General features: G+C 36.0%; 1 protein-coding gene across 15 annotated transcripts in view; it reads right to left on the bottom strand.

Moving 5' to 3' along the window:
• The window catches only part of RBMS3 (RNA binding motif single stranded interacting protein 3), a 729,325-nt gene that overhangs the window by 111,545 nt on the left and 589,904 nt on the right, over nucleotides 1-27,876 (bottom strand). For 14 of the 15 annotated variants that reach the window (XM_005265061.3, XM_017006180.2, XM_017006179.2 and 11 more), the window contains 2 exons: nucleotides 14,643-14,689; nucleotides 1,376-1,472 (listed from right to left, as the gene is read on the bottom strand). In XM_005265061.3, coding sequence (XP_005265118.1) covers nucleotides 1,376-1,472; nucleotides 14,643-14,689 — 144 coding nt within the window. Of the gene's footprint in view, nucleotides 1-1,375; nucleotides 1,473-14,642; nucleotides 14,690-18,033; nucleotides 18,073-27,876 lie in introns of all 15 variants that reach the window. The other variant, NM_001177712.2, reaches the window with a different exon arrangement.

Raw genomic sequence — 27,876 nt, 5'->3', positions numbered from 1 at the left:
TCATGTCACCAAAGTGCTCTACACTGTGGCTTAATGGGTGGTCTTGGCTGGAACAGAGGCCAAGATTAGAAAAAAAAAGGAAACACACACACACACACACACACACACACACACGCACATTACAACCAGGCAGGCCTGCAGGAAGAACAAAAACTGAACAGAACCTGCACATAGCCTCATGCCAAGGAAAGGCAATTAAGAAATCAGCCATTCAGAGACCCTCTAATGTAATTCAAATGAAAATCTATTCCATTTGCCCACGGATATGTTTCAAGAATCTGAGTGCAGAAAAAGAAAGAAAATGATCTGCTTTGGGGGGAATCAGTTAAGGAAAAGTGCACATAGTCTTAAGTTTGATTCTCTGACAGCTGGGATATCCTGAAATGAAGTATATAGTGACTGAACAAGGCAAAACTTCACTGAATTAATAGTATCAGTATCATTACAGTTTTACTCATTATATAACATCCACCCCCACCAGCTGCAAAATTCAAGAAGCACATGCATACACACGCTTGCATTCTCTCTTTCTCTTTCTCCCTCCAAACTTTTAAGAAATGACACTAGACACTTTCTACGTGCAGCATATATATAGGCGTTTTCTAATTAGAATTGGAAGAACTGTTTGAAGAACAATATTAGGTAGAGAGGAGATTAATATCACATACGTAATAACTCAGAGGAATAAAACAAGGAGTATTGTTTGAGGGAGAAGTGTGACTATTTTAATCGACCTATGTACTTGGAATTAACTGGCTATAATATCTAGTTGAGGACACACATTGAGTCTCAGACTTTCCAGCATTCCAACATGCGGAACCCCTGAGGTCTCTTTTGGTCTCTCTGGAACTGAGAATGAAATAAGAGCAGGGAATACGAACAACTTTTTACCACTTTGATAATTTCTTCTGTTTCTTGGGAAGTATGATTTAACATCTATCTGTGTAGCTTTACCAGGACAACCATGACAAAATGAGATGACAGTGATAAAATATCCTGGAGTGAGTGAAGGAATTGCTAGAAATGTGCTTTTAGAAAAGACACAATAGGGAACATGAACAAACAAAGTAACAGACAACAAACAAAATAATTTCCCAGTGGTGAGAGAGCTGTATTAAGGTTGGTTGGACAGTAGCATAATCATGAAAACTCAGCAGGAAGAATGAAAAGCATAGTGGATTTTATTATCCAGTGAATTGATGCAAACAGGCTCTTGAAAGTATAGGCTAACTCATAACTTGAGTATTATTACATTAAGATGTGATTAAAGTGTATGAGAATTTTTTTCTTTTCATTCTACTGTGTCCTTTTTGCCTCTAAATACTGTATTACTGCAAGAAAGATATCTCCTAAGGTGCAGGTAAATTGGACATACCTGGTATGTGGAGACAGGGGAAGCAGCAATGAATGGCGTGATAGATGTCTGTGGAATCATGCGGTTGGTTGCAATACTGTACGGTGAAGAATAAAATCTGCAAACAGAAAACAAAAAGGAAGATTCACGAAGCTGCTACATGCCTGGCCTCTAATCAAATGCTATCAAGTACCTATGGGAAAGACATATTTCCACCCGCACGTTTTTCCACCAACCATTAACAAGAACGTCTAGGAGATTTACATTATTTGATTCCACTAAGAGAAATAAGTAGCTCCGAATGAAATGACTTGGAGTCATCTGATAAAATTAGCTGCACAAAATCTTTCTTATGCCAGATAAGTTTAATACTGCCTCCCACTAGCAGGAGGAGAAAAGCCATGAGTGTTGTTTAAAAGGCTTTGAAAGAAAGACAAAATGAAAGCACCAAGCTTTACAAAAGTGACTGATGTTACAAATACAGGAATTGCATCTATGTCTTCTGTCAGGAAATAAAGACCAGTTCCTAGAAAGTTATGGATATTTTGTGTTAGGCATAGGTCCATGCCCTCATGCAGAAAATACTTTCTCCATGAAAAGAGAAGCAACAGGACAATTTGTATCGAGGTTGGAATGGGAATGTTTTCTGGATTAAGTCAAGGCACTGGCAGAGACACTGAACCTATGTGATAGGCTCCTATAGACTCTGTAAAAAGCACTGAATTTTCTAGTCCTCCAGAGCCTCTCATTGAACAACTGTAGAATGCTACAAGATCAGGAATTCACAAATCAGAGGAGGGATGATTCTCCTGGAGATCTATTAAAGGGTAGCTTCTGGATGTGAAAATCAGTGAAATGTCCATTTCTGCTCAGACTATACTGTAGAGTCGATGAGTTACTGAATGCTCAAATCCTTCAGCAGAATTTAAATTGTGTTTCCCCTATGTCTTACTGGTAAGCAAAAGGTTAGAGTGGCGAGCCACAGAACAGACAAAACCAGGTTGCCTGAGATGGAGTATGTCAGCGATGTGAGGATAGGTTGGAAAAATGCATGTGAGAAATAATGGTATAATTCTTTTGCTTTATTGGATTTTTAGCAAAACTCAATTACTATGTTTTGTTTTTTTTTTAATAGTATGACTGAGCTTGGAATTTATGGGACAAAGACTTCATCCAACCTCAGGGGTCAGTGATATTTTAAATAGAGATTTTCATGAGTTGTCTTTCTAAGAAAGCATCCCATGAGACTCCCATTAAATATGGGAGGACTAGAATTCAAGGTTGTCAGGATTCAAGGAATAAATTCTTTAAGCTTATTTTCTGTAAAAGTCTTCAAGCAAAAATATAGTCTTAAATGTACTTAAATTATAGTCTTAAATGTACTTTAACTCTTAACAATGATTTGATAAGATCATACTCTTTTGGGTAAAAAAAAATAGTGTGGATGAAAAAAATTATCCCATCATACATTACATTCTTACTATCCATACTCACCAGACCCTTAAATTTATAGTTGTGACGTTTAAAAGAAGCCACTGACTATACACCTGATATAATGACAAAAAGAGAAAATACAAAGTTGTTTTTTTTTTTAAAGACAATACTAACAGCTGACAAGGATGCAGAGAAAGTGGAATTCTCATTCAATGTTAGTGGGAAAGCAAAACATTACACCCATTTTGGAAAACAGCTTTGCAGTTTCTTTTAAAGTTAAACATACACTTTCCCTATGGCCCAGCAATGCTCCATACTAACCAAAATTAAATAAAAACTTTTGTTTATGGAAAAACTTTAATCCAAATGTTTATACAGACTTTATTCATGCTTGCCCCAAACTGGAAACAACCCAAATGTCCTTCCTCTGAATTAATAAACTGTGGCACATCAATACAATGGAACACAACTTAGCAATAAAAAGAAAATAACTACTGAAACATTCAACATGATGAATCTCAAGTAAATTTTGCTAAATGGAAGACGTCAGACTCAAAAGGGTATGTACTATATAATTTCATTTATATCACACTAGGGAAAAGGCAAAACTATAGCGGGGTGGAGGAAGGGGTTGATTCCAAATGAGCACGAGGGAATTTGAGGAGGGGAGATACCTGTTCTACATCTTGATTGTGGTGGTGGTTACATGATTGTATGTGTTTGTCAGAATCATAGAACTGTACACTAAAGAGAGTGAATATACTGTATGTAAATTACATCTAATAAATCTGATTTTTTTAAAAAAGATAATTACTATGTAAGAAAACATTCATCTTTCCATTTTAAAAAATTATTGAACATTTACTTTGTCTAACAAAGACGAATAACACTCTAAAATACCCCTTTGAGTTTCTCTATTTAGTCACTTAAATTGTACTGTATTTGTGTATTAATCAGCCTAAAGCTCTCCATAGGCTTTCCATTGCAATGTGAACAAATGTTCACTCTTTGCACTGGCTAGCACAATCAGGCTATTGCCTACTTCTGTGATACTGTTTTCTTAACCCTTTCTCCATAGCTGACTAGGATTGAACCAAACTGACTTTCTTCTGTCCTGATCTCATCATTCTCACTCTCATCTCTACACTGAACTTGAAATTCTCTCTACCTAAAATGCTCACTTCTCCAAAGTTTAATAAGGCTGTCTCTTCTTCATTTCTGGTCTCACTCAACTGTCCCTTTTTCAGAGAGGATTGTAGCTAAATTAGCAACTGCCATGTCTGTCCCAATTGTTTTCTATCCTTTTCTCTTGATATATTTGTATAGTTCTCTTATCACTATCTGAAGTGGTAATTTAAAAAATTATTTTTATATGTTATGGACTGAATGTTTGTGACCCCCTAAATTTACCTGCTGAAGCTCTAACCCCTACTGTGGTTGTCTTTGGAGATGGGGTGTCTAAGGAAGTAATTGGGGTTAAATGAGGACATAAGCGTGGGGCCTTAATGAAATAGGATTAGTGTTCTTTTAAGAAGATACTTCAGACAGCTCACTCAGGCTCTCTCACACGCACACACTGAGGAAAGGCCATATAAGGACATAACAAGATGGTAGCCCCAGGAGTTTGAGACCAGTCTGAACAACATGGTGAGACCCCATCTCTACAAAAATACAAAAATTAGCTGGGCATGGTGGTGCATGTCTGTATTCCCTTCTACTTGGGAGGTGAAGTGGGAAGATCATTTAAGTCCAGGAGATTGAGGCTACAGTGAGCCATGAATGTGCTACTGCACTCCAGCCTGGGCAAGAGTGAGACCTTTTCTCAAAAAACAAACAAACAAACAAACAAATGAAAAAGATGGCAGCCATCTACAATCAGGGGAAGAGAGCCTTTACCAGAATCGGCTACATTGATCTTGAATTTCTACCATTCAGAACTGAGGAAAGATAAATTTTTGTGTTTAAGCCACCAAATCAATCAAGCCACTTTGTTATGGCAGCCTGAACTGACGAATACAATGTATTTATTGACATTTCTCATTCTAGAATGTCAGCTCCAAGGGGGTTGAGTGTATATCAGTATTGTTGCCTAGAACAGAGCCTGGGAGATAGTAGATACTTGATAACTCTATGTTGAATGAATGAATGAATAAATGCAGAGCAGCTTATGGAATTCAGTAGTGATTACCATACAGGAAGATCAATACCAGGGTGGCAGGACCATAGGAGAAGGGTCCCTGAAAGAGGTAGGAAGCTGAGGAATGAGAGCCCAGAGAAGATGGTCCAATATCACATATTAAATGCTAAGTGGAAGCTTAAATAATATACCAAATTTCTAAGCATGCAGGGGCATTAGAAACTAGAAAAAAGACAGTCCTTTTCTATGAAAAATCAAGGTTTGCATTTGAAAATTCCTTCTAGGTCTTATATTTGACAGATCTTATTTGTAAGGCAGTGAACAGTATTTGGGGCTCATAATGACACGTGAGGCACCCAAGGCCACTCAATAAACAGTCTTCCTCATATGCCATGCAGTGGTTTAACTTCTGGTAGAAATCCAGGTTCAGCCTCTTATACAGACAAAGCAAACCACACATTACATTTTAGCGTGGCTGGTCGACTTTGTAAAATGCGCCAATTGGAGTATTAAAAATGAAAGCAATAAAGATTGGATTGACAGGCAAAGTTTACAGGAAATTCTATGGGGAAAACAGAGAACAGAAACATAAAGAAAGCAGCCAAGTAAACGGATACTAGCAAAAGGAACCCTTGGGGGAAAATTTAATGCATTTTTGTCCTATCTGCTCTAATCCTATCCATCAAACAAGAATTACATTTCATACTTCCCAGCAAATTCCAATACTGCCACTCAAGTCAGAGAGTCATTTAGAACTGAAAATGTTCTGGGAAGAACAGAATCGGCATACCGTCTTGATCTCCTAATTCTGGTATTCTGAAATAAGCTCTTCTCAAGTCCAAACATACACCAGATGAATTTACAGGAAACCCCTGCTTAAACCATGACAGGAGAGGCTACTGTTGCATCTGAGGCTTAGAGGTACCTATCTAAAGAAAATACACAAGGCCAGACTCCAAGGAGGGAACTGCAGAATGTGTTTCCAAATCTCTTAGCTTTTTTTCAGTCCCTGCCATGGTCAGGGTTTGAAAACATTTTCACACAGGCATCACATTAAAAATAAATAAATAAATAAATAAATACATACATACATACATACATACATACATACATACATACATACTTCAAGCAGAGATGTCATGCTACTGGGGAACTTTCTAGGCAGAATAACAAAATAAGGTAATTCTAAACATATGAATTTATGTTTTTTGTATTTGGTAATATATGCATTATGCATTATGCCTTGCAAATGTTGTTACAGAAAATGGGAATGAGTTGCTTAACAAGTTATTTTCCTGTTAAAAAAGTTTACTTCTTCACCAAGATTCACAGCATTATGTATATACCAAGTGCCTCTTTTACACTGAACCCAGTGGTTCTAAGCCACAGGTGATTTTGCTCTCCAGCAGACATTTGGCAATGTCTGGAGACATTTTTTGTTATCGCAACTGGAGGAGAGGGGGGAGCTACCGGCATCTAGTGGATAAAGGCCTGGGATGCTGCTAAACATGCTACAATGCATAGAACAGCTCCTATACAAACATTATCGAGTCCTGAACGGTAGTAGCATGAAGATTGAGACACCTTGCTGAAGCACATGAGCTAGTTACTTCTGGGGTTTCTTTCACATGAACAAAATATTAAATGCAAAGTGGCTAAGAGACGTTAACTAAGTGTGATCCACGGAAGTCTAAGCTAGCCTTTGAAACACTTAGTATTTTCAAGAAATGCAAAGAATCACTTGGTTCTTTGGCATTAAAGGCAACCGTCCTCCAGAAATCCAGAAAATGCAAATCTAGGTCACTAATAGGACATTATTTTGCCTGCAGAAAAGTCATCTTCAGGGGATTTGGCGGTCAGTAGTAATATGGTAAAATCTTATTTCACTGACAATAAAAATAACATTAATATATCAATAACCCCAGGGTTTAATTTTTTTTACTGTACAAAAAGCAAATCCTATTTACATATTGAAATAAACAGCACTGGCTTGTGTTTCATGTCCACAGGCAATATTGTTAGGGCTGGAACCATAAATACTATCCTCAGGGTAAAACAATAGTACAAGATTAATAAGGTATTGGTCATTTTTATTGTAATACCAACGTATCCTTCACATTAGATTCCTTTCCTAGTGTAATAAGATAAGGTTTCCATATTGCTTAATACCAAATGCCCACATAAAGCAGCCAGCAAACCAATGCTATAGAAAACATTCTTTTTCACGTCTCCCCCAAGAATATATTTTATTCAAATAAAAACAATCCAAGAGGCTTTTATACAGCAACTCCCAATGAAAAGGGCACAGGAAAGATGAGATTTTGAATATGGGAGGGAATATTTCCCACCTCCCCTGCTCATCTTTCAAAGGGATGGAATTTCATATTGGATTGCTAAAAGAGCAATAGGGCAATAGTAAAAACAAATTAGAGTTTTACCACATAGCTCTAAGAGAATGGACATTTTTATTCTTGTAAGTTAGCCTACAGTAAAAAGTACTACGATTTTTACTTTTCTGTTGTGACACAGATGCTTCTTCTCTCTACCCTTCAGAGTCCTAGAGAAAAGTGATATTGATCTAATTTTTAAGTGATAACTTGGATAGATTCAGGCAGATGACAGAACTGACATTTTCTACTGCCTAAATGCAAACAGCACAGATTCACCATGGTGTAGTTATGAACTGTTTGTTCTTCCTTAGCTAACAATCAAGCTAACTTCGGGGGCCTTTATTTCAGTGTCATGTTTCTGTATTAATGTGAAGGTTATGAGATACAGACCGTTTAACTCTTTACACAATTTAACCTACTAGCTACAACTCAGACACATACTTGCTTAAGATACTAAAAAAGCCCTATGGCTTAGTTTACTGTTACAGGATTCCATAGGATCACAAAATATGTCATTTAGCTAGGATGTGGCACCTCTCCAAGAGGAAAAGCTCATGTCACTGCACTAGCAAGAAGCCTTCCCAATTCCTCATCAGAACACAACTGCCTCTCCTCCACGGTCCTATGGAAATAATTTGCTTTATTTTTCTTTTTGAAAAAAAAATAAATAAAAACGTAAACGGTGAAAGATAAGTTTCCGTCTCACCCTATTTCCCACTACTGTGTTGGCCCTTCCCAGAGAATCACCATCATGCTTTCTTGTGTACTCCTTCAGAAACATTTTATACATATAAAAGTTAATATATACATATATCTTATAGTACTTTGTGGTTTAATCGCAATAGTTTTGTATTCTATCTCCTATTACAATTGTATATATGTCCATTGTTCCTAATATGACGTGAGCATTTTCTTTTTTCTAATTTTAGACTGTACTATAGATAGAAAGTTGAAAAAAATTGTTAAGCTTATTGACCTCAAGTGAATCAGCATTAAGCAACGTTGAACAATAATAACTGGATTGGAGTAAGCTGCAACTACATCTTTGGATACCCTGTGTTCTATGTAAAATGGGACCAGGCTCTTCTCTACAGTAATATTTATCTTTCTGTTAGGTTACTTATCTCTGAGTTATATTTGACGGCTAAATTGCATAGAGCAATGCGAATGAGGAATAATATACTTTATTATGGACACTTATGTTAGGCTCCTTGGTATGTTGAGTAAGTTGTTTAAATCAGCTTCCACACCTCTAAAAGGCATGTCCCAATGTTAACTCAAGAAACAGTATATATTTGTGTGACATCTCACATGCATAGAAATGGTTGTTCTACTGGTGTCCTACTACTGGGAATGTTACCATATAAAGGTAATGAAACCAAAGATAAGCAAAACAGTTTAAACATAATTTCTATAAAGAAGTATCAAATAAATAAGATCAATTAGCTATAATCCTCCTATTTCTTTAATTTCTGAATGTAAAATTTCTATCTCCTTGTTGCCAACAACACAATGCATAGTCCAAGCCTTCCAAAATTCCATCTTTCACTCAGGACAGAGAAACTCATGGGTAGTTTGGCTGCTTTGGGTGAAACTAGAGGTAATATTTTAGGAGAATTAGGTTAAGATGTTACATGGGGACAGACTGACTTGATGGCTGGGGAGGAGGATGGTTTCCCTGATGTCAACTTGCTGGAGCCAAGCAGATGTCATCTGTCACATTTCCTAGTCCTGATTTAGCATTCACAATACTGGGTTAAACAGTCTATGAAAATGAATAAGATATGGTGCCTGTCTTCATTGAGTTATATTCTAGCAGGGAACTATTATAGATATGGGTATCAAGAAGTACACAATAAAAAAGACTAATTGTCAAACTTATCATGGAAAGGCCAAACATAGGGCAACAATAATGTCAACATTTACACTGATGATTATCTTGTACCACACCAGGTTCCTTTAATCTTTACAAAGTCTTATGAAAGGTACTGATATTATTATCTTTATTTCACAGAGGAAGAAACTAAAGTATGGACAATGGGTCCATAATTGCACATCTGGTAAATGACAGAGTTTGGATGCATCCCTGGGCAGGATGATTCTGAAGTTTTCACTCTTAACCATTGCTTAAACTGTTTTTCTTATGACTAATAGCATAACTAGCTCTGCCTGGTATGATTTAATGATGTTCTTGAAATGAAAACAATATTTTTAAAAAGTATATTATTACGTAGTTACTGATACCCATATCTATATGGTGTGTGTGCATGTGTATGTGTGTGGTGGTGGGGCCATGGGGAGTGAGTTTTACCATATGGGAACTCAGGCAGACAGAATTCCACGTTCAACAAGACACAGAAGTACAAAGTAGCATGGGATGTTCCAAGAATCACAGACGGTCCAGTTCAGTTGCAGTAACCAAATTATGAAGTTCTGTTCGTACTATCTGGGGAAGTTTGAGTGTTGTTCTGTAGTTAGTAAAGGCCACGTAATACTTTAAACCAGGTAGGTAGGTGATTTCTGTAGTTACATTTGCTTAAAAATTATTCAAAAATTAATGTGAAAATTGTTCGTGGGGGGAGGTATATTAAAGGGAGTAAAAAGCTTAGTGTAGGTAGGAAATGGTAATGAATAAATTCAACCAGTGGCACGGAGGAAGGGCTAGGTTGAAGATATACATCGGATACAGATTGCACATCTTAATGACTAGTTTTATTGTGAAGAATGTAGGATAAGAAAGAGTCCTGAGGAGTGGAGATCATAACCTAAATGGATTTAGAGAATTTAAAACAGAGGAAAACAAAATTTGATATGTGCGTTTTGTTTGAATTTGTGTAGTTTGTATTACAAAATATTGATGAGGATAATGACCTCAGTTTGGGACAATGACATAGTAGCAGTACCTAGTAAGCTAGAACCACAGGTCATTGATCTCTGAAGCTAGTTACACACTTGAAGTATAGACTTGGGAGTCTTACTTTCCAGAAAGCAAGAGAGGTAGACGAGAGCAACTAGAGAGAAGAAAGAAAGTGAGAAAAGACCAGAGTAAGATTAGTAAAAGTGGGTAGGATTATTTGGTGCACAGGAAGTACTGAAGAGAGGGACTGGTGCTACCATTAGCAGCAAGACAAGAAAATAAAGTGAGGAAAGATAATATGCCCAATTTCAATGGACTAAAATTATTTATTACATGATATTAGAGATATGAGATTAGATAATATAATATGAGATAATATAATAGTATATAAAATCTCTTGATTTGGATATCTTTAGCTTCTTAACTAAAATGTGTTTCTTGAGGAAAATATTCATTGTTGTAAATGTCTAAGTGGGTAGTGGCAGAGGGTGAACCATTTTTGCAACTGTTCAAATAGTTTAAAGGATACAATGTTATATTGTTAATATAAGGTATAAATAAAGACATTTCATATTTCAGGTGATTTAAGGTTAACGGATGTACCTGCAGCAACTCCAATAGGGTCCAGGAGTGGTAACCTGAAATATGAGGTGGAGATTTTGAGAAAAAAAGAGAAATGCTCACTGTGTTCTAGGCTGTCCTCACTGCCTTGAAAATTGCACTGCCCAAAGTTCACCTTTGATTTCTCAGATTAGCAGTTGAAACCTCGATTTATTTTCTATGTCGATTTGTAACAATTAAGGGTGAGTATTTGGGAAATTATGTCTTTGTAGAATTTTAAATTGCGCATTAGAGAATGACTGATTAAAATCATGCATAACAAGTTATCATTCCCTAACTTCAGTTCCACATTTACCACTGACTCTTGATCTTTTTTTGTCTTAATGAGTCTTAGTTTGTTTTAGTGAGACTTAGTGAGTCTTAGTGAGACATTAATCAGGCATGTTTGAAATTGAGCATATCATCTACATTAGTCTGTTTTCATACCACTATAAAGAACTGCCTGAAACTGGGTAATTTATAAAGGAATAGAGGTTTAATTGACTCACAGTTCAGCACGGTTGGGGAGGCCTCAGGAAATGTACAGTCATGGCAGAAGGTGAAGGGGAAGCAAGATACCTTCTCCACAAGGCAGCAGGAAGGAATCAGTGCCAAGCAAAGGGGGATGAGCCTCTTATAAAACCATCAGATCTTGTGAGAACTCACTATCATGAGAATAGCATGGGGGAAACCACCCTCATGATTCTATTACCTCCACCTGGTTTCTCTCTTGACACATGGGGATTATGAGGATGACAATTAGAGATGAGATTTGGGTGGGGACACAAAGCCTAACCATATCATCATCTTTCTTCACTTTATTTCCTTGTCTTTCTGCTGATGGTACAGGGTCACTTTTGTTTCTCTCTTTTGCCATCAAATATAACATCCAGTTTCGGTCGGTCATTACATGTTGTCAGAGCTCAGCTCAAGGAATCGCTTGTTTAGAGAAGTTTTAACCACTCAAGCAAGACTAGACAATTCATAACACCCTGCAGTTCACCAATGGGTGCTTATGGTATATAAGTAATAAAATACTTTTAATGTTGATTTCCTTTGCTACTATGTAGATGAGTAAAGACTGGGTGTGTCTTATTCACCAGTATGTCCCCAGCCCTTGATGGAGAACCCTGAATGTAGGATTCTTTGATGGCCACTTGCTTAATGCATGATTGAAAAGTTTCTTCAGGTTGTCTCTCCTTTTGGTTTCTTTCTTCCATTCATACATTGGCCACTCCAGAACAAACTCTCACACTTCTATAACTGTACTATTTTAATATCCTCTTAATGATGCTTCCTACTAAGAGGATTTTCCTGCTCCAATATAGTCTTCATTATTTATATTACACCACTCTGTTGCTAAAAAAAAAAATAATAATTACTCCCCAGGCTTATGAAGTAAAAACCAAATACTTGAACTTCCAAATCTGACAACAAAAAAACTTTTTAAACTTATAAAATTCCTTCACAAGAAACTTTCACCCCAGTAAAACTTGTTGGCTTGTTAATCTCTACAAATTCCACTTCCATTCATAGCAGTCCACTTTCTCCATAAGCATCTTTCCCTATGTCTATCCTTGATAAACTAAGTCATCCTGGATAATCTATGCCAAATCTCATTGCTTCCATATAGCCTTCCCTTTGTCCTAGCTGGACAAAGACAGCAGGCTCTATTTAGTGTTACAGACTGGCATTCGATTCCCAGCTCTACCTCGGACTACATGGCCTCATTTTCTTATCTGTAAATGGGATATTAACACTCACCCAAAAGAATATAATAAATAAATGAAATAATCCATATAAGCTATTTTGATATGACTTTTTGATTTTGCTTCGGAATCATCCAGCTGTAAAATACATTTTGGGGCAACTGAGCAAAGTTGAAAAATAATCTGGATAGTAGATGATATTTTGAAATTACTACTGATTTTATTTTTTGTGATGACATTTTTATCATGTGACTAATGTCTTTATTTTCGAAGATGTAAGAAGTTAGAAATATTATGATGTTTAAATTTTACTTTGATATGGTCCAGCAAAAACTATCTTTTTAATTAAAAATGCTAAACACAATTTTAATAATTGACTACATAATTATATATAAAAGCTAATTTTTATTTTATTTCTATCCTTAACAATGTAAGTTTCATAAATGCAAAAACAAGTTATGTCTGGGTCACTGCTGCATCCCCAATCCTTGGCATAGAGCCTTGGGCAACAAGGTACTTTTCACAAGTAGATACATAGATAAATACTATAGACAGGTAGATATGTATATACATACATAATACATACTCTAGATAGGTAGATACATATGTATATATTACACACATGTGCATACATATGCATGCATGTAAAATATTATAAAATATGAATATTTATTGAATCCAATTACTGGACATACAGGTATTTTTTGAACTATTGTTTCTATTTTCCTTTGTATAAATTTCCAATATAAATTTATAATTGTAATCACATGTATTCATTTGAAACCATGTGCCACTAAATTACAAAGTACTTTGCACAAAATATGTGTTCAATAAATGTCATTCCTTTCCATTATAACATCTATTTTCAGTCACTATCACTTAATATATAATGCCTTATTTTTTCCTTTGTGAGTTAATTATTTATCTCCAACTACGTAATATAATTCTAGAGGACTTTCTTCTCCATATCTTTACTTCTTTCTACACACCCAGTTTATAGAATTTTGTTGGAAATAAGTAAATGCCTATTGGATATATGAAAAGATATCCTTAATTTTCACTTCTAGAGGGAAATTTTAATCAACCCAAGGACAAAGGACTATACTCCTACCCTAGTCTACCATTAATGTTTACTTTTTCATGGACGAGTAGATTGTGAGCCTCTTGAAGGAAAGGGTCTCATATCATACATTGTTTTTTTAAATCTATAGAACATAGCATTGTGCCTGGGATACTTACTGGATGTTTGTTGAATGACTGACTATATGACTGCCTGAATGAATAATATAAGAATAAGAGGTAATTATTTAAATACTTTCAATATCCCACAGATTTTCTTTAGAGGCAACTGACAAAATAGAAAATGAAGTTTAATTCATTCTACCCTCTATGTTGATCTTCAATGAGGCTTTTATAATGAGACTGAAAGACAGACAACTGAAAGCCTTGGAGAATTCCAAAATAAAAGACAGTGACAGGAAATAAGCAACCAACCAAAGAATAATTATTGTCAATTACAAGACAGCCTAAGCAAAGACATTAGGAAGTAAGAAGAAAGTTTCAATGAAAGATATTTAGAAGTCACAGAATTTTAGAGTTGCCACACCATGTAGTTTCACACTTGTTTTTCAGAGGAGGAAGTTTAAGCTATATGACTTGTTCTAAGTAGGTGGATACAAATTTCCAGATGCTTATGAAAATGAAGATGCAATCACCTGAGTTACCAACTTGACTTTCCTCCATTACCATTCCCCTGATCACCAGAAAGAAAGAATAAATTGACTTGGGCACACACCAAAAAGTGTTTGAAAGCTAACTCTAGAGTTATTATTCTCTCAGCCTAGCTTTACCTGTTCTCCAAAGACAGAGAAAGAGGGAGGGAGGGAGGGAGCGGGGGGGGAGAGAGAGAGAGAGAGAGAGAGAGAGAGAGAGAGAGAGAGAGAGAGAACAGGGTTTAATGTGGGCAGAGGCATTGTGAGAATGGGAGGTCAGAATAATTTATAGGATGAAAAAAACTATAATGATGAAAAATGCTTGGTTTAAACTTTGTGTTTAAGGATGTAAAACAAAAGCAAAACAAATTTTAACATTTTTCTTTGATGTTGATTCAGAGCTCAAAGATCTATTCACAATTAAAATAGAGAAAATGTGATCTACTTACCCATTCTGTATGGCAGCTGTGGGGTCATAGGTCAAAGCCATGCCAGCCTGTATATAGGATGAAGAGGGAAGAAAACAAATCTTAACGTTTTTATTGTGGTGCCCAAAACATTTAGTACACACAAAGACTCTTATCATTACTTTCCATGATCTAAGTTTATTTTCTCCTATGTATATCTCTATGCTTACTGCCAAGACTAGCATTTTTACTATCCACAAACCAGAATATACCAGTGAGTTGGGAGTTTATATTATATATTCAGACATACCAAGAAACAATGCAGCTTGGATGATTTCCATTTTTACTTCTTAAAACATCCACTGTCTAACCTCACATTGTTATAATTTCACACTATTGTCAAGAACACCTATTGTACATCTCATGGCATGATAAAAAAGTAAGAACGAATCCTGCAGTTAGGATAAAAATAAAAGCTACTAAAAATGCATTCAATCTTAAAGAAGAAAATGTTTAAAAAAGTATTTATTTAAAAATAGACCATATGCCTAAGGGGTTTGTAGGTAATGAGTCCAGAGTGCTTGTTTGATATATTGCTATTTCTTATCTTAACAAGAGTGATAGAAAGGGGAGGTCATTTACATATGAAGAAAATTCTAGAACACATGGCTAATAAGGAGGTAGTTATGTTTTGTTTTTAGGAATAAGACCACCTCTGAAAAAGTACACTTCTCTATAACTGGATATAGTTTCTGAAAAGAATATAAACTTCATGAGTGCTGATTCACAGTCTACCTTGTTCCTTCATGTACATCATCACATTTGATCCTCACAACAATCCTATGAAGTAGGCAGGAGGAGTATTTTCTCCATTTTATAGATGAAGACACTGAAGCTTGGAAAGGTCAAGTGACTTGCTCAAGGTCACACATTTGGAGGCAGAACCAGATTTCAACCCAAGTCTTCTGATATGGGCTCCTTTCCATTCCTCAGCTATGACATTGGCCCAAGAATTAAATTAGACCTGAGTATCAATATCCAACAATATGGGGAAAGTTTCTCTGTGGCCATATGGGCATACCATCCTTTGTTTACCAGGACTGTCAGCATGGTTAATACTTACAATGCTTACAATGTTGAATGGAATTTAAAACTGTTCAAGTAAGTTATCTTTAGGGTAGATTTTTTTTTCTTTTTTCGAATTTAAAACTGAATTAGATCAACATCAATGTCCTGGCTTTGATAGTGTACTATAATTACTTAAAATATAACAATTGGGAGAAACTTAGTAAAAGGTAAACAGGACATCACTGTACATTTATTTTGTAACTTCCTGTGAGTCTATAAATTCTTCAAAATAAAAAGTTAGAAAAAAAGTGGATGAGCTATGAAGAGTTTTGTAAAGGATAAGAAACCATAGACATTTTAAAGAAAACAAAATACCTTGCCTGTTTGAGTTTTTTTATTTTTCCATTGTGGTTGAGGATGGTTTTCTTGTTGGGCTCATTGAAATCCTCAAATTTAGCTTATAATTGACATGAAAATTCTCAATCTTCTAACAGAGGGCCTGATGTACAGTATAGCCTGCTGCTTTCAAGCTTAGATTGCATGCAGTATTTCCATAAATACTAAATTTTAAATTATTATGAAGATTGGTATGAGGAACAAAAGTGTAGAGTCACATGTGAATGGAATTGGTATAAAGGGAGCATACATAAATTGAAACGGAGTTTGCAAACAGAATTGAAATGACTGTCAGAAGTTAACAGAGGTGCACTGAGAACACATGTTTAATGATAACTGCATGACCTCTTTAAATTTATGAATCTCATTCATGTTAAAGAAATATGCAACTGATAATATGACAAGCTGGGGGACTGAGAAATGAGAATAGAATACGACAGCAGAAAAGAAAAAAGGTTTTTGTTTTTTTGCCATGGGAGAGGCAAGAAGATAGTGGTGTCAAGATGAACAAAGATTCTAAGTTTAAATTCTTCCCAGGATGAAGGCTCTGCCACATGACTGGCTGGAGGTTGGCCTTAGGCTGAACACAGAATGGAGCTGTCTAGGACTTAGCTGAAACTCTCTGGTCTCAGGCACAGGAAAGGGCAGTCGTAAAAGCTGTCCATTTGGAATTAGATTTCCCTCTTAGGAACACTAAGCTTCTCTCCCCTAATTTATCCAAGATGCGGCACTGCAGGCAGAATAAAACAGGTGGGCTTTACATTCAATCGAGATATTATTAGTGCATGAGAGATTTAGGATGATAGTCATATATTCAGTCTACTAATTATCTCAAATTGTTTAAGTCCTGGGGACTTATAGGAAGCCTTCCCTAGTCAACTGCACATTTATTTCTTTTTCCTTGTACTTATTTTCCTACGGTGCTCAAAGAGACCAATGCTATCTAGCCCCTCCTGAATTACAAACTGTCTTGAACATTCTTTTTATGCCATGCTTGTTTGTTCTGGCCACTTAAGAATTTTTTCTTGCATTTTACTTGAATTCCTCATAGATTCTAGCTAACCAATCAATTCTAGCTAGGAATACAGTAATTATCAATAAACTGTCTTTCTTCAACACACATTTGTTAAGGAAAAAATCTATGTTGACCTCCTTCTTCATCTTAAACCCCCATCCTATCTTTCAGAAGATGGAAAGGAATTGACATCAGTAGGGTACAGTGGAAATCATGTTTTGAAATAAGACAGACCTGAGTTCAAGTTCTAGCTCTGTTACTTTGTAGCAGTGTGACTTTGGGCAAATTATTTAACCTATTTGAGCCTGAGTTTCCTCAATTTTTAAATGGTTTAATAATACCTACCTCATCAGATTGTTGTGAAATTTAAAAGAGATTACGTTTGTAAAGCGCCCAGCACAGTGCCTGGAGACAAGACACATACATAAATATTATAATACAAAGCAATATGTGTTAAGTGCCATATGAGTGGTATGGATGGGGTGCAGATGAGAGAGGCTGGGGGTGATCAGATAAGGCATGTAGGGAAGTACAGCTGAGCAGAGCCCTGAAAGATGAGGAGAATTTCCACAGATGGAGATGAGAGGTCAAGGCCAGCTCAGGCAAAAAGGAGTACTATGGAAAAAGGTGTGTAAATAAAAATGGAAAGGTGAGTGAGCTGTTTTCAGTAGAACATGTAAAGGGGAGAGTGGGAAATAAGACTCAAAAGGTAAGGATGGAGGATCTTGATTGCCCAGCTCCTCTTGGGGGAGCTACTGAGTATTTCAGAGCGGGGACATTATATACTTAAAGAGTGATTGGGGAACAGGAGTTAGCATGAGCTCCCTGGAAAACAGAGGGTAAATCCAGAGGAATGAGTAACTAGAGTAGGTACCTTGGGAGAGGGAGGTGGAGAGAATCTAAGGTGAGATTTTCATTGCAAAAGGGTCGGGAATGAATACAAGATTCACCTACTTCACGATTTTGCCTAGGGACAGTCCTGCCTCTGAGTACCTTTGGCAAGAGGAGACAACAAGAGATAGTGTCAGGTCATATGCATTTGGAACATTGTGGGTAACAACATGGCATGGGTTAAGCAAAGGGTTGTTTGAACTTAACCCATTGGCTGAATATAATAGCACAATAACTAACACTTGGATACACCTGGTTTCCACTTCATGTGTAATAGATTGTTGAGTCATAATTCTAATATGGTCTTAATGCAAACTTTGCATTCAATTTCCTTTTGTCTCTTTCCACAAAGGAAAAAAGGAAATTGATTTTGCTGCTCTGTTGAGCTACCTTTATACTAAGCTAGGACCATGAAATCATCATTATACAATCACTAAATATTATGGCATGTTTACAAACTCAAGAATCACACAAAAAGTAAAATACCTTGGAACAAAATGAAAATGTCACACCATGTATGTAGAAAAGTGATGTTTAATTGTCACTTATTTTCAAAAAGGAGTTATTAGATTCAGAAATATTTTCCATTTTTCAGGTTTCCATTGTTTGTGTAATAGAGACATTCATAGTTTATTTAAAATAAAGTGGGGTATTTTTGTCATTTTTCAACAACAGTTAAGTTTTAATTTAGTATTTCAGCCAAAATAGGACACTTTAGATCTTCCAGACAGGATTTTTACTATAGGAGCTAAATATTTTAGAAGAAAAGATTTTCAATGGTATATTGGAATAATTAGGGGATTTTTATTATTAACAAATGCATCTTTATTTTTAATAAATTCATTGAGACAAATCAGTTGACTTAGGAGATAGTTATTTGATATTCTTAACTGTAAATGATTACATTATATCAAGAGGTAATAATTGTGGAAATACTGCTTAAAGAGTACACATTAGGAACCAGGCATTGCTACTTCAGAAAGATTACCTAGACTGCAATGCTTGGTCTTAGTTGAGGAGCAGAGAATCATTGACTGTAACAAAGCCAAAATGATGATGGCCTGAATTATTTTTTTTTTTTAACCATTGTTGAAAGTATTTTTAGACTGCAAGATAAATGGGGATCAAAAAATTGGGGGCAGCAAAATTTATACAAACTGATACAGACTGAAGTTCCTGGACAAATAAAACATTGATATTTTAGCCTAATATTTCTCCTTTTCTTGAGGTCTGGCCTGATACATAATTGGGTAAATTACAAACAAATAATTATAAAGATTTATAGTCTTCTACAATCATAATTAAAACAACACTTTAATAAATGTATAGAAAATGTTGAATATTTTATTAAATATTGTATACTGAATTAGCACAAGTTGAGTCCAAGAAGCTAATACACACAAATATAATATTGTTTTCTGGATGTTATATTTAAAGTGTTTATTTCTTGCAGCCAATTTTAACAATATTTACAACTGTTCACTTGTTAAGATTAAAAATTCAATAAAAAATAAGTTAATTAAAAATTATGTATAAAAAGGGGCTTAAAATTATGATGACATAAACATCTAGGTACTGCTACTGAAGTAAAATTTCACTTAACTTTGCTCATATTTATTTGCTAGTATTTCTACTTAGAAACCTTTAGTGAACAAGTCACGATACAAAATTATGTGTACAATATGTGTTGAAAGCAAATATTTTAAATATCTCTGACTGGAAATAAAACTAAAAATGAATTTCAACAAAATGTTAAAATACTGGCGTAGTATAACAATAACTTTTTTTTTTGCCTTTCATGCATTGTTTTGACTTATTTTTATTTTTACTTTAAATATTTTAGACACAGGTTCTCACTCTGTTGCCCAGGTTGGAGTACAGTATAGCTCACTGTAACTTCAAACTCCTGGGCTCTAGCAATCCTCCTGCCTCAGCCTCCTCAGTAGCTGGGACTACTGGTGTGCACCATTAAGCCCAGCTAATTTTATTTAAATTTTTTTTTGTAGAGATGGGGTCTCACTGTGTTACCCAAGTTGTTTTCAAACTCCTGGCCTCAAGTGATCCTCCTGCTTTTGCCTCCCAAAGCACTGGAATTACAGGCATGACTTTTGAGTTTTAAAAGTTCTTTGTAATACTATTTCCATAATGTGGGGTGAGGGGATCCTTTAATTTATAAAGCATATTATGTCTTCTATGACTTGTCTTAAAATTTTTAAGAGGGAAAAAAGGGCATATCATTTATGAAAGTAATGTAGGTCAGAGGCCTGATTCAGAAGTAAGCTTGAAAATGTCAGGGTGCATTTAGCTTTGCTGGGTCAGTAGAATACAAAAGTAGGACAGAATGGGATTGCTACAACCAGAAGGGTCAAGGTGAGAATGGGCAGGAGGTCAGTAATAAAGAAAGAAAATTCAGGGGAAATGATATAGTGTTTCTAGTAGTGGAAACCACTAAGAATTCAGAAATTCAAATGGCTACACCCTGGCTGAGAAATTGAGGGTCTCCTATGTGATACTAAAAGTGTATATAACTAAGATATTCAGAGAAACCAATAAAAATCATCAATGATCAGAAACCTACTAGATCAGGGGTCTCCAACCCTGGGGCCGCAAACCAGTAGCCATCCATGGCCTGTTAGGAACCGGGCTGCACAGCAGGAGGTGAGCAGCAGGCAAGCGAGCACTACCGCCTGAGATCCGCTTCCTGTCATTTCAGAGGGGCATTCGATTCTCATTGGATTGGGAACCCTATTGTGAACTGCACATTACAGGGATCTAGGTTGCACACTCCTTTTGAGAATCTAACTAATGCCTGACGATCTGAGGTGGAAGAGCTTCACCCTGAAACCAACCCCCTCCCCAACACCCCTGTCAACGGAAAACTTATCTTCTACAAAACCAGTTCCTAATGCCAAGAATGATGAGGACCACGGTACTAGATGGCCAACATTAAGCCAATATTTTGGCCAGAGAAAGAGTTTTTAACCTTCTTCCTGTCAAGGGAGAAACTATTCTCGGAAAAAATATGCCTAGAGCAAAACTGAGGGCAATTTATTAGTTCACTTGCTGAAAGGGGATATGAGCAGATCACCTTCTGACCTTCATAAGAGTCAAGTGGTAGAATTTTACCGGGGAACAACTCCGGCACAGTCAGGAGACTACTGAATGGTTTGTTTCTACCAGGAGAGGCAGTCAACCCTGTACAGTAGTTATCTGCTCTCACCTGCTAAAGGGATGCTCCTTAGGCTACTGTGCAGTTATTTGCTCTCTTGAAGAGAAGATGAACTACAAATAAGATCATAAATAGGGAAATTCCCAAGGTCTATGCAGTCTGAGATAAGACAGTAAAATCTGGGCTAATGGTTCTACAAAAGGCTGCAAGCAACCTGTGAAATGGTCCTCACTATACTCTTTAAATTTTCATAATTTCTGAATCCAAGGAATACTTTGATTCCAAATAATAATTACATTCATTTGCATCATTTGACCAGTGTATTTTTCTTCTTTGGTTTCTGTGATCCTCTCCCCTTATTTTTGTTCTGACCTCTCAGAAAGCAATTTCTTCTTTAGTGTTACTTGACCCAACTGCCTATGAGATGCCAGAGTGCTCAGGGGGCCAGGGTTTTATCTCTCTCCTTTACTGCAATACAGTGGTGACATTCACTTTCTTATCCCAACTATTATTTATTTCCTGGTGATTCCCAAATGTTTGTCTCAAAGTCAAGTTTGTATCCTGAATTCCAGACACATATCATCAAGTTTAACTAGTAAGTTCAATGCATGATTACTGCCTTCTTACAAGTTATCATCTCTTGTTTCGGTGTTTATGAGTATATGTTGGTATAATATCTTCTCCTATATTTGCTCAAAACCTCTTTCCAATCCATCAGTCACACCATTGTGTTATGAGGATTGCTCTTGTGAGAGGCAAATCTGACCACATTATGGTCCTCCTTTCAGCAGCATCCTGTTACCTTAAGATAAAATCTGGCCCATAGAAATCTCATGATCAAGTGCCTTTGTACCTGTTGGTCTCCACATCTTTTTTTTTTCACCTCTAGACTTCACCCTTTACCAAACTCAGACATACACTCGCCTTGCCCTGGAGCATTACCCCTGGGCCTTCGCAGGGGTGGTTTTTGGCTGGAAATTCTCCATTACTTTCTGTGGGAATATTTCTATTCTATTCTTTCAGCCTCAGATAAGATGTCATAGCCTCTTAAAGCCAGCTCTTTCTCCAGGTGCCACTGAAGGCATTAACTATTGCCTTTGTCCTCCTCCCATGACCCATGGTGGAAGCTAATATGACCATGCTTTGCCATGTGTGTCTCCCAGCTAGTCATGCTCATCTTGATATCGCCTCTTTCTAGCCCAGTGTTTGGGACATTGCAGAGGCTCTATAAATGTTAGCTAAATGAATTAATACATGAATAATTCACCTAAAGAAATGTTTGAATTTGAACTTTTAATTTTTATTTGAAAATATTTTGAAGCTTTTTTTTTCCTATTTTGTTAGTAAAATTTACTTTGGAAAAGCTGCAGCTTGACTTAGCTGAACTTCTAAAGATAATTTTTTTTAGCCTTTGATTGGTCAAAGAGATAGAGGGAAGCAAGCTTATTACTGAGATTGCTAAGAGACCTTCCTGATGATGTGGGCTCAAACCAAATTACAGGCAGGAACCTAGGAGGAATTAGAATAAGCTGAAAACCTGGAGGCCCTTCTTCATGAAATTACTGGCCTAGAATCAGGATAAGAGAAAAACTATTAAAAGTCCTTTTGACAGCTTCAAGAAGTTTTTCAAAAATCAAGCCAATAACATGCAGGGGATTTATCCTTTAAATGTAGCTAAATGGTCAGAGAACAGAGAAAATTAACTTCTTTATGTTTGAGAAAAGAACATCAAAGGGGTCTTAATATTGTTATTTACATGCACTATATCGTCACAGTCTTTCTTCTTTTTGGCTTTTGCTAACGTAGTGCTATCAGGCAGAATTTTTCCCTATATGGCAATAAAGAAGGACAAGATAGAAAGATGCCATCAGAACTAAGACTGGAAGCCTGAGAAAGACTATGGCACAGAAAATGCTAGGCTAAACGAGAAGCAGAAGAAAAGTATAATATAATATAGCTATCTAAAGATCTCAAAATCTTGGAAAAAAAAGTTTTAATCTGAGTTTGTCATTAAAACCAAAGTTAAATTAATCCTTAATTGATACCATAAAAAAGACAAAACAGTGTTACCATATTTTATGTAGGTTCATCTGTTTTTATCTCAATTTAAATGGCTGAATTTCATAGATTCCAAGATGCAGGTTTTTTTTTTCACATTTTAATATCTGTGAAATTGGGATTTAAATGATAATTGATAGCATTTTATAGTATGTCAAGTTCCTTTTCTTTTATTAGTGGTGTTTAAAGTAATATTTCATCTTTAATCAATGGTGTCTTATAGTCAATGATGTAGTACCTATACTGTTAAACCCCACCATAACATGGTTAAGTAGGATGAAAAATATACAACTTTGAGATTGCTACTAAGATGAGCCTGGGCAGCTAGATAGAGGAGAGTTCCAGGAATTTGGCTAATTGACCCATATTCTTTCAGGTTCCAGTTATAGTTTGATGTTACCTGGAGGTTGTAAACTGTTGCTTAAACATTAGTGGGGGTAATTCTGAATCTTGTGGCAGGCTGGGATGGCCAGGACACTACCAACAACTCCAGAAATCTCCCAGTTGGTAGGTGCCACATATAGTTGTCTTGATCCATGGAGAATGGGTCAGGAGACCCAATCATGGTACATGGATATTTCCTGCCAACTTTTCCACTTGTAATTACTTGCTGTAATCTTCCCAGCCTTAAGCCCTTCCTAAATTTCCCACTGCCAACCCCGCCCTAAGAACCTAAGTATGTTATACTGCCCTATTCCTTGAGAACATAGGCTAGGCAGAGGACTGAAGCTCATCACCAATTACATTAATCCAAACTTACACTAGTACAGGGATTTACATGACTTACCTTTTATCCTTAGTGATCATAGGTTAGTAAATATTGGGCTTAGTACCTTTAAAATAGAACACTTAACTAAATAAGAAAGTTTTCATGCTGAATTATTGAGAATTCAAATTCTTGTGCCAAAAAAAAGGTTTATTTTAAGACTAGAAGTTCCATTAACCTTGAGCTTGCTCTCTAAATTGCAGATAAAGCACATAAAATAAATACAACCATATCTGGTGTGCTAATTACGAAAACCAACTTGCAAGTGCTAACATGCATCATAATGGCCAAAAACTCTTTTCAAGATCACATATGTAAATAATCTCCTTCAGTTTAAGGTTAAAAAGACTATTTGCAGAACCTGGCAGTGTTGGTAGACATATCTTAATTTTTTTCAAGGTCATCTTAAACATAAAAATTTGGACAACGAATTGCCAAGCACTGTGGTATAAACAAAGAAAATAGTGATAAACTATGTAGATGATGCCCTTACCTTGGAAAATGATCTAAGATATTCTAAGCCTAGACGGTATTACCAGGTTTTCCAAATAATTCTTTAGATATACTATTTTCTAGGAATTGTGCTTCAGTTTCTCCTTATTTTTATCTCCAGTGGTTTAATTCTATGTCTCTGAAATGTCAAGTTTCCACTCTTCAGTATTATAAAATTCAATTGCACCCCATATGCCTTCAAAGCTAATAGAAATGTTGTGTTCCCAGACTGCATTGTCAAGTTTTCATATTTATAAGTATGCTGACTGGTGACTGGTCAAATGTTTAATGAGCTGGATGCACCATTAAGAGCAGATTCAACTAAAGACAAGGGGGCTATTTTACGGAGTGTGTCTTCTGTCCCTCACTTCTAAGAATGCCCAAAAGCACATACTTTACATTAGCATTAATAACAGCTAGTGACAGCCAAATGCTGTAAAAAAGGCCATGATCAAGTAGGCTTCATCACTGGCATGCAGGGTTGGTTCAACACATGACAATTAATAAATGCAATTAATCACATAAACAGAACTAAAGACAAAAAACACTTGATTATCTCAAATGATACAGAAAAGAATTTCAATAAATTTCAACATTGCTTCATCTTAAAAACTCTCAATAAACAAGGTTTTGAAGGAACATAGCTCAAAATAATAAGAGCCATTTATGAAAAACCCATAGTCAACATCATACTGAATGGGCAAAAGCCAGAAGCATTCGTCTCAAAAACCAGTACCAGACAAGGATGCCCTCTCTCAACACTTCTATTCAACACAGTATTGGAAGTCCTAGCCAGAGCAATCAGGCAAGAGAAAGAAATAAAGGGCATCCAAATAGGAAGATAAGTCAAACTATCCCTGTTTGCAGACAACATGATTCTACATCTAAAAAAATCCCATAGTCTCAGCCCAAAAGCTCCTTCAGCTGATAAACAACCTCAGCAGAGTTTCAGGATACAAAATCAACGTACAAAAATCACTAGCATTCCTATAGACCAACTGCAGCCAAGTCGAGAGCCAAATCAGGAAGGCAATCCCATTCACGATTGCCACAAAAAGAATAAAATACCTAGAAATACAGCTAACTAGGGAGGTGAAAGGTCTCTATGATGAGAATTACAAAACACTATGCAAAGAAATCACAGAAGACACAAACAGATAGAAAAATATCCCATATTCATGGATAGGAAGACTCAATATCATTAAAATGGTCATACTGCCCAAAGCAATTTCAATGCTATTCCTATCAAACTACTAATGACATTATTCACAGAACTAGAAAAAAACTATTTTAAAATTCATATGGAACAAAAAAAGAGCCTGAATAGCCAAGGCAATCCTAAGCAGAAAGAACAAAGTTGGAGGCATCATGTTACCTGACTTCAAACTATACCACGGGGCTATAGTAACCAAAAGAGCATGGTGCTGCTACAAAAACACATAGGCACATAGACCAACGGAACAGAATAGAGAGCCCAGAAACAAGGTTGCATACCTATGACTATTTGATCTTCAACAAAACTGACAAAAGCAATGGGGAAAAGACCCCCTATTCAATAAATGGTGTTGGGATAACTGGCTCACCATATGCAGAAAATTGAAGCTGGACCCCTCCCTTACATCATGTATAAAAATCCTGCTGTGCCAGCCAGTACCCCATTCTTGCTGGATCATGATGCTCCTGGAGGAGGCACCGGGGAGGAAGGGGAAGTGGAGTTGCACTGATGGCCTAGGGGCAGTGTCTATTTACCAAATGATAAGATATATTTTAATATACCAACAAGTTGCATGGTCCTTCTAGTATATGGAAGTGAACATCAGCCTTGCCCTTGGCTTCAGCTTCTTTAGGACAGTGGTTCTCAAAGTGTGGCCTGAAGACCAAGAATTCCTAAGATCGTATTAGAAGATCTATAGGGTTCTCCCTTTTTAAATGACTTATCTAGATGAAGGTAGATTTTTCTCTACATGTTTAAAGCAAGACAGAGTATAGAAAAAGAGAGAATGCTGAAGTACATGCACAAATCTGGCCATTTTTTACTGAGCCAGACATTAAAGCGATTTGTAAAAATAGAAAAGTCCACCACTTTTCTCAAAAAATTGCCTTTGTTTTAAAAAATATATTTTAATAAAATATACTGTTTTTATTAGCACATGATGAGTTAATTTCTGTTATTATTTATTTTGTTGTAAGTAATAATTTTTAAGAGTATAAAGGGATCCAGAGACCAAGAGTTTGAGAACAGCTACTTAAGGAAATAAAACAATAAGAACTGTAGAACACCAAGGAAGAAGAGCCTAATAGCCCCCATCCCTCGATCATTTTATTCAGAGTTCCAATTGTCTCTTGAAAGATTAGTTAATAATTTTAAAATATTCCTGCATTTTTCACTTATGTAGAACATGGCCACTAGCATATATTTATATTTCAAAATCTTGCTAATTTATACTAATTTCTGTGTATGAAGTTTTCTGTATTAGATTTTTTCATAAAGAAGTGCATTTAGCCAAACTTTGCTAATAAAATTTTTATCAAAATGCCATGAGGAAAAAACAGCTTTAAACAGTAAATTAAAATTTTAATTAGTCTATCAATTGGCATGCGCATGGTACTTCTAAAATACTTGTAATCTATTGGTTTTGTATCCTAAGAATTTCGTCAGAAATCCCTTTCACATGACCATTTTTACTCATCTTTTAGGAGAGAGGAAAAGTAAACATTAGCCTCAGTCTGTGCTATTATCTTCAATTCCACAGCAGCATAATCTAAACTACCATCTTTCATTTTATCTAAGAAAAGGATTCAAAGGTGTACCATTGTTTCATATATCAAAACAAACAAACAAGCAAAAACAAACACCCCAAATGATCTCTTTATAAAGTTGGTTTGCCAACCTTAGTATAATGGTAAATGAAAAACAAAACTACACATTAAAAACAGACACCAAAGAAAGTTACTTGTCTCAGTCATGACACTGAATGAAGGAAGGGGTCAAACAAACAAACAAACAAACAAAAAACCCTCCCTTAAGAATCTGACCCAGATCCTGGCTTTGGTTAGTGCTTTTATTTATGAAACCAGTGTGGTCAAAGACCTTAACCCGACAATGTAGGTAGTGCCCTCAAGTGATTAACAGGAGAAAATGCATATTATCTTGTAAAATACCACTTAGTCTAAGAGAACCAATTTCAGAAGCTTTAAAGTGTGGAAAACAGCAACAACAAAAACATGTGTCTTAGAATCAAATACAGTAACCAGAATTTCCTGGCATATAAAATTAATTAAATATTGCTTATATAGGATTAATGTGTATCATGACAACTTTATCAACTTGCTAATATACTTTAGCAAGTAAAATGCAAGGGGGAAATGGAAGCAAAAAATATAAAGTGATGGGCACACAGTTATCCAACATTCTTTGGGT

This window comes from Homo sapiens, chromosome 3 (genome assembly GCF_000001405.40).
Source record: "Homo sapiens chromosome 3, GRCh38.p14 Primary Assembly".
Taxonomy (NCBI): domain Eukaryota; kingdom Metazoa; phylum Chordata; class Mammalia; order Primates; family Hominidae; genus Homo; species Homo sapiens.
Note: the sequence above shows the minus strand (reverse complement) of the source record. Positions and strands in the feature narration are given on the sequence as shown.